This window comes from Homo sapiens, chromosome 3 (genome assembly GCF_000001405.40).
Source record: "Homo sapiens chromosome 3, GRCh38.p14 Primary Assembly".
Lineage (NCBI taxonomy): Eukaryota > Metazoa > Chordata > Mammalia > Primates > Hominidae > Homo > Homo sapiens.
In genome coordinates, this window is record NC_000003.12 from 88,337,846 (window position 1) to 88,353,019 (window position 15,174).

Genomic DNA, 15,174 nt, shown 5'->3' on the forward strand with positions numbered 1-15,174 from the left:
AGCATAATCCAGTAAACAGCAAGACAAAAGTGAAAATACAGGATAAAAAGGGAGAATTACCCAGTTTATCAGGTCTGCAGAAGAAAAGAAAACAGCCAGTTGAAATAGAATAAAAAAATTGTACACAAAAATATGTAATTTGAATTATCATTTCCCCTCTATATTGCACAAAGTCCTTTGCTTCCTAGCCTTTACTATTTACAACTTGGTCATTTTTCAATGTAATATTTGAAAAGTATGTCTATTGAAAATTATGTAAAATTTTATGATTTTGGAGAGTAGTAACTGATTTGTTCTTTTGTGATTTTAATTTGTGAACATTCTTTAAACAGTGAATAGGATCTATTTCAAAAACTATTTTTTTAGTTTTAAAAAGCTCAGAATGCATTTTTCTGATAATATTTTTATTATATGAAGTAGTTTATTCTGGTTAGTTCATAAAATTGTATAAAGTAGCTAAATTGTATTACTGATTATCTGGGAAGTTTCAGGTCTTCAGATTTTTATTTCTATGGTGAAACTTATTCTAATTTCCAACCCAAGATTCTGGAACACATCTCCCATTATGAAGTGGGCCTCAGGATGGGAGCGGAAACAGAGCCTCTTGTTCACACTCCACACCCTCATTTTCCAGCAGTGAGGGTAGACTATTAAGGCTCTCATGTCATCAAGGATCGAGGCAATGGGTTAATGGAGACTCTAGACATTTGTTTCCTCACCAGTGAAAATTAAATGAAGACCCAGGAATCACTACAGCTATAGGGATGAGAAGGACATTTCAGCAGCTAGAGTGTGGTGGTAAGTTCCTGGCTACATGGCTGCTTCTGTACAAGAGTGTGCTAAAGTCCTTCTGTGTTGTATAAGCTTATGTGTGCATATGTATGTATGAGCAAATTGGTGGGCTATTTTTTTCAGTATATGCTGAAGTCTTGTTAACCTGTAAACCCAACATCTAAAAAATGTCAGTGAATAAACTTTTGTTCAGATATCTGCTACTAAGAGGTGGCTGTAAATAAACTAAAAGCAGATTTATTCCCACTTATGCTTTATTTATTTTTTTAATTTAATTTTTAAAATTTATTATTATGGGTACATAATAGTTGTCTGTATGTATGCGGTACATGTGATGTTTAGATGCAGGCATACAATGTGTAATGTTCAAACCAGGGTAATTGGGGTAGCCATTGTCTCAAACCATTATTATTATTTTAGAACATTCTAATTCCACTCTTTCAATTATTTAAAAATACACATTAAATTAGTGTTAACTATAGTCATTCTATTGTGCTATAGAACACTAGATCTTATTTCTTCTATTGACTGTATTTTCATACCCATTAACAATCCTCACTTTATCCCCCAGTTCCCATTACCCTTCCCAGCCTCTGGTAACCATCATTCCACTCCATCTTCATGAGTTCATTTTTTTTTTAGCTCCCATATTTGTGTGATAATATCTTTCTGTGCCTGACTAATTTCACTTAACATAATGTCCTCCAGTTCTATCCATGTTGCAAATGACATGACTTCATTCCTTTTTATGGCTGAATAACATTCCATTGTGTATATGTGCCACATTTTCTTGATCTATTTGTCCACTGATGAACACATAGGTTGTTTCCACAGCTTGGCTATTGTGAGTAGTGCTGTAATAAACATGGGAGTGCAGATACCTCTTTGATATGTTGATTTCTTTTCTTTAAGCTTTATACCCAGCACTCACATATATTTTAAGGTATGTACAGGAAAAGTCCATTTCCGATGCATTCTGTACCTACAAGATTGTTCAGTGATAACTGGTGTACGTAAGTAATGATGACACTTGGGACAGGAAAAGAATTCTGAAGAAAATTCTGAATCATTCAAAGCTAAATTATTTTCAGCATAGATTTAATAAGTACTCTTTGTAAATCTTTGAACATTGGCAAACCATATAATTTTTGTGTGAAAAAATGTTAACCAGAGCAGCAATTATGGGGGTGAGAACCTATGGTTGTGTCCTTAAGTGGAGAGACACCTTTTTAAGACCTATTGAAGTAGTTTTTGTTTTCTTTTCATTGTTGCTCTTCTGGGTCATTATTATAACTGTCTCCATTCACAATTTTCTACCTATCTAAAATTGTAAAGCTAATGTTTTTAGATATGCATTGGTCCTTAAGAACTGGATGTACAGTTGCCTATTTGCGAGGACACGGAATGACTTTAAACTTCCTGGATAAAATATTTTCTATATGTACCAAGAAAGAGCTTGGGTTTAAAATGTTTAGAGTCATTGTGATTATGACTTGTTGAGAGTATGCTTATAGCTAAGTAATTTTCTTTCCTTTTTTCAAAAGAAATGGGTACGGAGGTGTATATTCTGAGTCTTACAGGGTCTTAATTGCCTGCCATGAGGTAGTATTTAGGAGCATGATTAAATTGGTTAAGACACATCTAGAGAAAGGAAACCTCCAAGAAGGAATGTACTTGTTAACACTGCTTCTGTGATTGAATTTAGGATTTATAGCACTTAAAATTTTTAAAAAATTGCCTGTAGTTTATGTACACGGTGTTAGAGATGAACTGAATTATTCGTAATGTATATTTTATGCTAATTCACTGGTAAGTTTCTCAAATAATAGTTATTTAAAATTCCTCACTTTTCAGAAACTGCGTATTCTTTAGTACCAAGATCTCTCCCCTGTCATTGTGTTCTTCTAAGATATCACTGGTGCTGTGATCGGGAGCTATTTGTTCAATCATGACCTGTGGGGCTTTCTTAACCTCTTATAAACTTAAGTGCCAATCACTAGGCTGGATATAATTACACTTTGGTGATTTCTTTGAGCTTTAAGGGCTAATGAATAGCCTCAAGTATTTAAATAACTGCTTGAACTTTCTTAATTGATACAAACTGTCTGTAATAATTCCACTTAGTCTGGTATGCCACCTGAACAGCTTTATCTTGGGTTTACATACTTAATTGATAGTGTTCAATGGTACATGATATTTATATGAGCCTTTGTCTTACTGAACTGCATGTGAGATAACCATTCTAAGTCATATTTTAAAGCTGTATTCCAACTTCATAAACAAATACATTAGAATCAATGTTTGTGTTCCAGGCCTGAACAAATATTATTTTATGTCAAATTTTGTTAGTCTTTTGTAAACATACTAAAACATATGCATCCAAATTATGGTTCATATTTTTTCCACGTTTCAAATTTATGCAAATGCATATTTACTTTTCCATTAAAATTCAAGTTTTTATGTGAAATAATATGAAAATGTTACAAAATAATTGAATTTATAAGTATTTGAAGACTTTTATTTTCATTTTAGGGTTTTATTGCTATTCTATATAAAAAATAATCCAGATATATCTGGAGGAATAATTGGGTTCAGAGGCTATTTTCTTTCAAAAACCAAAATCATAAAATGTACAATAAATATTGACATGAATCATTATTATTATATGCATTTTTATAATAGAAATTGTAAAGGTAAAAATGATTATAAACAAGAAGTGAATTTTAAAATGTCTCATTGAGAATTAACCTTAGCATCCTAGATTTAGACTAGCTAGATATTTCTGTGTATGAATTCTTGTTCTAAAATGTGCCTGACATGTAACTTTAGGTAAGTTATGAGACTTCTGTGAGCAGCTGTTTCCTCATCTGTAAGATGGAAAATAATGATGAAGACAAGAATAATTATGTTAAACAGTAAACATTTCTTGATATTTCATGGATACTCAATAAATGCTATCTCATTATTATTCCCACAGGAAAAAAAAACTCTTACTACTTTTAGTTTCACTTTGATTGTATCCAGAATTATGATCCAGATTTGGCTTTAGATGACCTTGAACTATTTTCAGACACAAAATTATGCTCCTGAAGTATTAATATCTGATAACATTAATGCTATTTAAAATAAACTTTCGGAGAATCTGAAGGGAATTCATTTTTCTGAAAAGTAACTAGTTGAGAAAGTCAAAATGTATTTGAATGTATACATTTTGGTATGTTTGAAAACAATGGTGATGGTCTATAATCACTCATATATTGATGTGTTTTTACTTAGTGTTTTGTCTCTTGATAAGCAGAGGATTATAGAAAATTAAATGTCAATAGGTATTATTAAATCTAAGTCATGAAACGGATCATTCCCAGATTGCTGACATATATACTAGTATAAATTTTTTTAAGTGTTTTTGTTTGATGGTTTTTATTTGTATGTGTGTATGTCTTTTTTTAGTGTTAGCAAGTAGTCTGGTATAGTAAATAATATTCAAAACAAATCTTTGCTACAATATTGTATAGGTATATGCCTTCAGAGTTCGGTATGACTATTAAGAAATGCTTCAGAATTCAGGAACTTATATATTCTGTTACATCAAAGTTAGCCTAAAGCTGCCTCCTTACATATTAAGTTTGGCCTAAAAGCTTTTCTGTACATCGTGAATTATAGCAAGTCGGGGTGTAAACCTATCATGGCCCACACCTGTGCCAATCACTGAGTTTTGGCCAGTGAAATGTAGCCAGCTGTTTGAACCATGTTCAAATAAGGCAAATGCTGAGCTGTAACCAATCCATCTGTTTCTGTGTCTCACTTCCATTTTCTGTAGGTCACTTTCCTTTTGCTGTCCATAAATCTTCCTCCACCATGTGGCTGTTGCTGGTGTCTCTCTTGAATCTGTTGTGATTCTGAGGTCTGCCCGGTTGATGGATCATTTATTGGTCAATTAAACTCCTTTAAATGTAATTCAGCTGAAGTTTTCTTTTAGCAATACTCAGAACTTTTTTTGTCAAAAAGAAAGCAAGGGATTTGCACATGTCTATATTGTCAGAAAAAAAAATAAAAGGATCTGAGCAAGGTTAAAAAAAAAAAACCCAAAATGCAAAACTGTATATACATGACTCTACCACCTCCATTACTCCTTGGAAACAAATTAATACTTTTGTAGGTTGATAATTTTGGTGTGTATTACCTCTGCTTCCAGAAAATAATACACATAGCATAGTTACTTATGTAGAATTTTCTCTTTTCTTGGTAGCCAATAGCCACCAAGGGGCTATGAGCACTTGCTATTTGGCTTGTATTACTGAGAAACTGAATTTTAAATATTTACTATTAATTTCTTAATTCTTACACTTAAATAGCCACCTAAGGGTGGGAGACATAATCCAGGACAGCATATTTCCAGATTCATAAGCCATTTTCGTATATGGTTACATTTACGCCATGGGTTGCTGCTGACAATGCCCAGAACACAAGTGCCTTGGAGTGCGTATCCCTTAACCAACCCCTTCATCTTGCAGAAATGGCCCAAGGAGAAGAGTACAAAGCAACATAATGGCAGAGATGATGTTCAGATCTCCAGATATTGTGTCCCTGTCTCAGAGTCGCCAACAGAACTTAATTTTTCATTTCCTTTTGACAAGTGATGAGCTTGGTAAGATGGTGATAATGGTATTCAACAACCATAATAATTAAACACTATGTCCCTTTTTGCGGTACAGTGATAAGAACTGAGAAAAAGGAGACAGAAACAAGGGAGCATTCTTATGACTAGTCTTTGCTCCTTATCACTCCAGTGAGTCTGTTGACAGAAATGGCCATATTCTTATTCAGCATTATTACTAGGCGTGGTTATGAGTCATTAGTTATCTTGTTATGTGAAAGTCACTGATTTGAGTAACACAATGCCATTTGATAAAAAATGACATTGGTATAGGAATCAAACAGGGCTACTTTTCAGAATTATTTTCTGATAATAAAATATAAATTATTTTAATAGTAGTAAACTTATTATAAATGAAGTACATAAGGTTAGTGATATGGGGATCAAAGGGCTATTGCACATGAATCACTAAACAAAAGTCATTGGGAGACTGACACAAAAATCTGTATGTCTTTCATTCATTTAAATCCAGATTTTTTTCTCTTATTAGCAGAAAATATCAAACAGTTAATATATAAGCAAGTTAGTGCAATGTGCTCTTCAAAGCTAACTTGATTATGGTAGAACACAAAAAAATGCCACATAGCTGCTTTTATTTTTCAATCAATATTTCACAATAAATCATCTAGGTTATTCAAATAGTTTTACCTACTATTAAGATTTATTTATAGGATGGCACATAATGAGAAATTCTGACACCTATCATTTAAATAAGAATATTTCCACAATGTTTTTGCAGGAAAAAACTTTCAAACATTTTAGTGCTAAAAACTTTGTGGTAGAATTTTAGTAGATGCTGATAATATTTCTGCCAGAAATTGCAACCAGGCTCCCATTCTACTTAAAGATATTCTTGAAATTAACAGAGTAGCAAGCTGTTAACTATCTGTAGAGGCTCACCTTCCTTTTACAAACTGTTAATAATACTCTGGCGAGACATGTGGTCATTTCCATTACCAACAAAATTTTCTTTTTAGAAAAAATGAAAGCTTTGAGCTTTAAATGTTTATATTTTTTTAGACTTGCAATGAAGGCATGTGTCTTTTATTTCCTCCATATGTTGTTTTAAAATTTTCCATTTATATTGTTATTCTCTGAACTTTAGTAATAACTACAGGTTCATATTGAGAAGCTCATCAAATATTGGGAGAAAACAACAGAAATAATAGCAAGAGCTATTGACTTTAGAAGAACTGAGCCCCAGACTGAGTTCAAAGCTAATTGCTCTTATTTTGAGTTTACATGATAGAAATTGGATAACTATATGGATTTGATGTACCAATTTCTTCTTGATATGCAACTTTTAAAAAGTCTATGTAGTTAACCTATTAATATAAAACTGACAGTCATTTAAATTTGCTGTCTCCCATTCCATTGGAAAGATCTCTGTTTAGAACTACAGGAAATAAGGGCAAGTGTACATATTTATTGTAATAAACTAATAATAAAGGGACAGATATCACTACCACATTGTAAATTATACAGTAAGTCTTAGGTAATTTATTTAGTACCTTAAACACCCAGGAAATTTCACTAGTTGACAGCAATTGAAAATGCAAATTAATTGTGTACTCCATCCCACATCTGAAATAAAAGAAAAATGCCAGAAATAGACTAATTCTGGTTTCCTTTTGAATATCATGTTTTAATTTCTTTTATGTTTCTTTAATCTTTTCAGCAGTGCTTAAGGATTTGGAAGATGCTGATTAAAGCATTTCCTCTGATTAATTATATTTTGGCTTTCAACTGTTTTTTATTTTAAAATCAAGTGCGCACACATTGTCTGGATTATATGAGCATCTGCTCTTCCCAGTCTCTGCAAATATTTATATAAATCTAACTGCCACCCTGATCTCTCCAAGTTCTCACTGCTTAGCTAATCCTGATTGCATCCCCTCATTAAGCCATCTTCAGGATATGGAAACTTAAATAAAACAGATGAACAACCTACATTTCAGGGATATTTGTGTACGTGGCTTGCCACTTAATTCATGTTATTAAATTCTCAGAATTCATTCTAAAATCACAGGGTTTCCTTTACCTCTGCTTTCTTTAATTATACATTTGATTATTATTAATCTAAAAATTACAGGCATACCTCGTTTATTGTGCTTTGCTTTACTGAGCTTCACAGATATTACATTTTTATAAATTGAAGGTTTGTGGCAACTCAGCATTGAGAAGTCTATCAGTGCCATTTTTTCATCAGCACATGCTCACTTCATGCCTCTGTGTGACACTTTGGTAATTCTCACAACATTTCAAACTTTTCCATTATTATTATATGTCCTGGTGATCTGTGATTAGGCCTCTTTGATGTTACTGTTATAATTGTTTGGGGATGCCACAAACTGCACTCACATAAGACAGTGAGCTAGATAAATGTTGTATGTGCTCTTGACTTCTCCATCAACTGGACATTCCCCCGTCTCTCTTTCTTTAGATCTCCCTATTCCCCAAGACAGAATATTGTTGAAATAAGTCATTTAATAACCCTACAATGACCTCTAAAGTGTTCAAATGAAAGGAAGAGCTGCACGTCTCTCACTTTAAATAAAAAACTAAAAATGATTAAGTTTAGAGAGAAAGGTATGTTGAAAGCTGAGGCAGGTTGAAAGTTAGGCCTCTTGCAGCAAACAGCCAACTGGAGAATGCAAACAACAGGTTCTTGAAGGGAATTAAAAGTGATACTCCAATGACTACACAAATAATAAAGATAATAAAGTGAAACAGCCTTATTGCTGATATGGAGAAAAATTTGGTGGTCTGGATAGACTATCAAACCAGTCACAACATTCCCTCAAGCCAAAGCCAAATCCAGAGCAAGGCTTCTAACTCTCTTCAATTCTACGAAGGCTGGAAGAGGTGAGGAAGCTGCAGAAGAAAAGTTTAAAGCTAGAAGAGGTTGGTTATAAGATTCAAGGAAAGAAGCCGTCTCCATAACATGAAAGTGCAAGGCTAAGCAGCAAGTGCCAATGGAGAAGCTGCAGCAAGTTTTCTAGATCTGGCTAAGATCACTGATGAATGTGGCTACACTAAACAGATTTTCAATGTAAATGAAACAGCTTCATAATGGAAAAAGAATCCATCCAGGGCTTTCATATCTACAAAGGAGAAGTCAATGTCTGGCTTCAAAGCTTCAAAAGACAGGCTGACTCTTGTTAGAGGTGAATGCAGCTGGTGACCTTCGGTGGAGCCAGGGATCCTTTACCATTTCAAAAATTGTAGAGCCCTTAATAATTATGCTAAATTTACTCTTCCTGTGCACTAGAAATGGAACAACAAAGAACTGGATGACAGCAATCTGTTTACAGGGTGATTTATTGAATATTTTAATGCCAATGTTGAGAACTACAGCTCAGAAAAAAAATTTCTATATTTTTCACAATATTTTCAAAACGTTTGAAAATATTACCATTTATTAACAATGCATCTGGTCACTCAGGAGCTCTGATGGAACTGTACAAGGAGATTAATGTTGTTAAGCCTGCTTACACAACATCCATTCTGCAGCACATAGATTAAGGAGTAATTTTATTTTTTAAGGAATACATTTTGTGAGGCTATAGCTGCCATAGATAGTGATTCCTCTGGTGGGTCTAGGAAAGTTAAATTAAAAACCTTTTTGAAAGGATTCATCATTCTAGATGTCATTGAGAACATTCATGATTTATGGAAAGAGGTCAGATATCACTATTAACAGGAAATGGAAAGAGTTGATTCCAACCCGCATTGAGAAATTCAAGACTTCAGTGGAAGAAGTAATTGCAGACGTAGTGGAAATAGCAAGAAACTAGAATAGAAATGGAGCCTGAAGATATGACTGAATTGCTGCAATTTCATTATAAAACTTGAATGGGTGAGGAGTTGCTTCTTATGGATGAGGAAAGAAAGTGGTTTCTTGTCTACTCCTGGTGAAGATGCTAGGAACATGGCTGAAAGGACAATGAAGGATTTAGAATATTACATTAACTTAGTTGATAAAGCAGTAGCAGGGTTTGAGAGGATTCACTTTAATTTTGGAAGAAGTTCTAATGTGGGTAAAATGCTATCAAACAACACTGCATGCTACAGAGAAGTCTTTCATGAAATCAATGCAACAAACTTTACTGTTTGCCTTATTTAAGGAATTGCCAGTCATCCCAACCTTCAGCAAACATTACCCTGATCAGTCAGCAGCCATTCACATTGAGGCAAGAGCCTCCATCAGCAAAAACATTCCCATTCATGGAATGCTCTGATGATTGTTAGCATTTTTTAGCAATAAAGTGTTTTAGATGAAAGTATGTACACTTTTCTAGACATAATGCTATTGCACAATTAATAGACTACAGTGTAAACATAATTTTTGTATGTACTGAGAAACCAAAACATTATTTTGACTCACTTTATTGTAATATTTGCTTTGTTGCAGTGGTCAGGAACAAAACAGGCAGTGTCTCCAAGGTATACCTGTATTTTGGATATAAAGACCTTTTCAAGATGATTTACTGTTTTGTATATCTTCTATCCTTTTAATATGACTGAAAATTTAGAATTTATTAGGAAGTTGAAATACAGAGTTTATTAGGAAGTTGAAATACAGGAGATACATGTTGAGTATCTCCTGTATTTGCTTTTCCCTTTATTCTTAGTATTTTGTTCCTCTTTTATCTCTCTATGGGCTAAGAGAATATAAAGAAATAGTACCTCTCCACAAAGATGGAATGCAAATACTTCCTATAAAGACTTTCTTTCACCTGGGTTTCCTTATCTAATTACAGGTTTTATATGGGGACAGTACTTTAATCTGGGGCCTTCGCTTTATTTCATGCTTTGATACAGACTGAGAGACATCTATTTGACTTCGTTTTACAAATTGTCCTTTGACCATGTAGTTTCTGTAGACAGAATGATTTTTTTTTTATTGTAAATATCTAAGACTGAGAATTTCTGTTCTTGCAGCTTTATGTAATTATGTTCAAAGGGGTTTGAATTAAAATAGAACAGATGTGTCCATCTTTAATTATGGTGTAACAAATTGTGTTACTCTAAGGCTTTATCAAGTGAGACACTCATCTTTATGTAATAATGGGTCAGACAGTTTCGAAACGGTATCAGTGAACACAGTGTATTGCCTATTCTACTTAGACTTCAAAAGGGCTGTCAAAACTCAGAGGATGTACAGGTAATCCAGAAGACACTATAGAAAATATATATATTTGTTTTTTATTCTAAGTTAAGTGAAACATATGATAAATCTAAATGTCATCTAAGTAAGACAGAAAAGCTAACATTTGACTTAACAGATATATCTAAAGAGTAGTGAGAACATTCAGCTCTCTGTATTGGAAAATACCATTTTAGGGTTTCCTGAAAACCCTTTTGTATTCTTTTGTGTAAACACTCTCTTAATCAATAAGTGGCCAGAAAAGCCCTTTTTTGGGCATCACATTCAAGTCAGTACAACAAAGTCCTTTTTACTAGCTGTCAGCTACTTAGAGAATCAAAAAATAGTAAGAAGAATATGGACAACTACAAATCTGTGAAATGAGCCCCATCTCAATGTTTCTATTGCTGTGAGTTGTACCACAGTCCTTTTATGCTTGTGGATATATCCAATTCTTTTATGTTTTTTTCTTTCTGCCCTTTCCCAATATGTCACCATTATTATTTTTATTCCCGAATTGTTTTATTGAGATACTCTTTTTGCTTCATTATCATTACCACCCTAATCCAGGCTCTATTTCTTCAAACCCAGATTACTGCATCGATTTTCCAAGTTTTCTTGATGTTTCTCTCCCCCTTTCCATTCTTTTTGCAGTTCATTGCCAATCTAATAAAAATAATAATTTTATTTTTTGCCTTTTTATTTCAATAGTTTTGGGGGTGCAGGTGGTTTTTGGTTACACGGATGAGTTCTTTAGTGGTGAGTGCTGAGATTTTAGTGCACCCCTCACCCAAGAAGTGTGCACTGTACTCAATATGTTGTCTTTTGTCCTTCTCCCCACTCCCAACTTGCCCTCCTGAGTCTCCACAGTCCACTATATTGCTCTGTATGTCTTTGTGTCTTCAAAGCTTAGCTCCCACTTATAAGTGAGAACATATGGCATTTGGTTTTCCATTCTTGATTTACTTCGCTTAGAATAACGGCTTCCAGTTCCATCCAAGTTTCTGCAAAATACATTATTTCATTCTTTTTTATGGCTGAATAATATTCTATGGTGTATATATACTGGATTTTCTTTATCCATTCATTGGTTGATGGGCATTTAGGTTAGTTCCATAATTCTTGCAATTGCAAATTGAGCTGCTATAAACATGTGTGTGCATGTATCATTTTCATATAATGACTTCTTTTTTGGGGGGTAGATGCCCAGTAGTGGGATTGCTGAATTGAATGGTAAATTTACTCTTACTCTTTAATGAGTCTCCATACTGTTTTCCATACTGGTTTACTAATTTATGTTTCGACCAGAAGTGTCAAAATGTTCCCTTTTCACCACATCCATGCCAACATCTATTTTTTTGTGTGTGTGTGTTTTAAATTATAGCCATTCTCGCAGGAGTAAAGTGGTATCTCATTGTGGTTTTAATTTGCATTTCCCTGATGATTAGTGATGTTGAGCAGAAAATGGCAATTTCAGTTTGATGCATCACTTCTTACAATACTGTGGTAGTTCAAGTTTATTATACAAGGCTGCACTTTTGTTTCTGGTCTTCAGGATCATCCATAATCCCTATGCACCTTCTTGTCACCACTGCTCAATAAAATGAACAATATGATTTTCCTTTCATCAAGTGTCTTCATTTTCAGTATCTAAACACAGCCTTTTCTAGGCAGAATTGTTCACTCCATCCCAATACATGTATGTTTACCCTCTCCCCATGCTCTTTCTTCAGCCAAGGACATTCTGGTAACTGTCCCTTTCTCATGAAACTCATTTCCTTTCTTGAAAGGCCAGATTCTCCATGGTGCTTTCTTCTTTTTCATTTTTCCCTTTCTCTGAGTTACCAATTCAGTTTTAGTTTATACCTTAATTGTTTCCTAAACTGGTTTTAACCCCTCATGAAGACTTAATCTCCTTGTGAAGGAAAGCTTTTTTGTAGAGTGGCTCAACTACAAGTATAATCTGGTTGCTTAATTAGCATGCCTTCATTGAGGAATTCATCGCTAGGACTGTGTTCTTGTTTATTGGGATGGGAAGGGGGAGAAAAGATGAGAGGGGCAAAAGAGAAAATTTGGAAAATGAGAAACTTACTTTATTGCACTGTCTGTGCAATTGTTGGTCTTAAGGGAACAAATACACTAAATTCAAAGATGATGAAAAAAAAAAAAACAGCTTCACAGAGCTGTAGTAAACACCAGATGTTGAAAGAGAAGCGTATCAGACTATCCTTCATCTTTCATCTTTAAGGGACAAATTACAACAAATAACCAAAATAAACATAAAGAAACCATAAAGGGCACTGAGTGAAAAGGTAAAGCTACAGATTTCAAAACAGAAGACATATCCAGACAGCCCTTGTCAGTATGTTTCTTTACTACAGAGGGTTGCTGCTGCTAGAAGTCTCTATGCTCCCATGATCTGTTGGTCACTGTACTTCACTTTCCCAACTCTCACCCCCAGTAGACATGCACACTCACATTTTTAGGATCCAAAGAAGAGAGCTGAGCTTGATTTTCTGTCAGGCAGAAGAGCAAGATAGAAAATGTAATTTGAAACTTTTTCCTGCTAATCCTCAACACAGAATTCTGGATTCTCATCTGAGGACTAAGAGCACCTTTAACACTGATGAATTAGAAACGAGGCAAGGACTAAAATTGAGTTAATTCTCTAATATTAGAAAATGAAGAAATACTCATCACTGGATTCACTTGCCTCACTAAATGTATTTTATTACTTGAACATATATAATAAATACATAATTTTTCTTATCCTTTAATAACAAATTCAGAGAGAGAAAACTTCATTCATATTAAAAAGTATAGACTAGAGATGGAAATTAAAAATAATATACCAGAGAGGACTGCTACAAATGAATGACAGCTTGTTAGATAAATACATCTGTTTTTGTAGATCAAATAATGAGGTATGAAGTAGACATGGCTTCAAAGACGATGTTAATTTCTTTTTTTCCTAAATTCAAAATTATTATAATATATATTGTAGAAAATTCAGACAGAGGCAAAAGCCCAAAACAAAAAAGTTACCCTTGATCCCATCCCACTATCTAGTGATAATCATAGTCAATATGTTGGTGAACATCTTACCAAGATGTAACTTTGTGTAGGTAGACATTTTTACAAGAATGATATCACACCGTATACTGTCTAATAAAAAATTTCACTTAACAATATGTAGTCATTTCCCATGCCAAATATTATGATCTATTAAATCTTTTATGTCCAACACAAAGCAACACTAAATGTAAGATAACTCCCCATTTTCCTATGAGAAAGCCAATTTATTTAGCTACAAAGATGTATTTAATACCACATATTTTCATATCAAATTTATGTTGAAACTTTAATATTAAAACATTCCTTATTCCATGAAACATTGGTTTTTCATCAAAGGAAACATTCTTTTAAGTCACCAGATTTTCAGAGTTCATCATTTATAATTTTGTGATGCTGTTACTGGAAATTTTGTCCCAAGCCATAAGTATCCATTTACATAGCATTAAAACGTTTATTATTTTTGTTAATCTCCACAATACAACCACTTATCATATTGCTTTTAAAGGAATCTTGTTTACCACAGTAGCCAACAGTTGAATATTGTGTGGTCAGACTCCAGGAATCACTATTAAATATATGCTAATTTTTGTAATTCCATTTTTTTACTGTTTTAGTCATGTAAACTAAAATGATAAAAATGTTTTAGTTTTTACTAAATGTTTTATTGTTAGTGAGTTCATGTTAACTCTCTCTCTCATCTATCTACCTATCTATCTATCTATCTGAATACATGCAGACATAAAACTCACATTGGTGAAGGCAATTTTGGGCTAATGTGTTTGTTCAATCCCTGAAATGCTATTCAAGACAAAGGAATTGAGAATGCACCCTTTGAAAAAATTGATTTTAAACTAACTCATTTTTTGAGGTGTCATTTTGGGAAAAAGAAATTTATATTTTGTCATATAAATTATAGTAAAGAAAATGGCAAGATCATGTGAAAGATATATTTGAGGTTTTTGTTTAATTCTCAATACAAGCATTTTATACTCCACAATTAGAAAATCAGAAGACTAAAAAAAGAAATATTGAATCTGAAAATAATTTTATAGATTAATTAATTAATTTATTTATTATTGAGATAGGGTCTCGCTCCATCACCCAGGATGGAGTGCAGTGGCATGATCACAGCTCACTGCGGCCTCAACCTCCCAGGCTCTAATGATCCTCCTGCCTCAGCTTCTTGAGTAGCCCGGACCACAGGCTTGTGATATCACACCCCGCTTAATTATTGTATTTTAAAAATGAAGAAATAGTGAGACTAAGAGGGCAAACAACCCTCTCAAGTTTCATAGGCATTTACAGGGTGAGTTCAAATTAGGCAGGTTTCTTGACAGTTTATTACTCTTTACTCAATATGATATTGAGGTGTAAAACAAATTTATCCTAAACTTCCTTCAGAAATTGAGAGACACATGCAAAGGGCCAATTCTAATAAATTCTACCAGCTTAGTAAACTCAGACTAAGGATAAATTCCCCTCAAGCTTCTCTTAAGAAATC

General features: G+C 33.6%; 1 protein-coding gene across 6 annotated transcripts in view; it reads left to right on the forward strand.

Moving 5' to 3' along the window:
- The first annotated feature begins 610 nt into the window (after positions 1–610).
- The window catches only part of CSNK2A2IP (casein kinase 2 subunit alpha' interacting protein), a 129,139-nt gene continuing 114,575 nt past the window's right edge, over positions 611–15,174 (forward strand). For 4 of the 6 annotated variants that reach the window (NM_001368168.1, NM_001368166.1, NM_001368165.1 and 1 more), the window contains exon 1: positions 611–798. Coding sequence is in view for 2 of the 6 variants with exons in the window: in XM_047447367.1 (XP_047303323.1) it covers positions 765–798 (34 nt within the window). In the remaining 4 variants the exon portion in view is untranslated. Of the gene's footprint in view, positions 799–5,306; positions 5,441–15,174 lie in introns of all 6 variants that reach the window. The other 2 variants (NM_001368167.1, XM_047447366.1) reach the window with 1 other exon arrangement.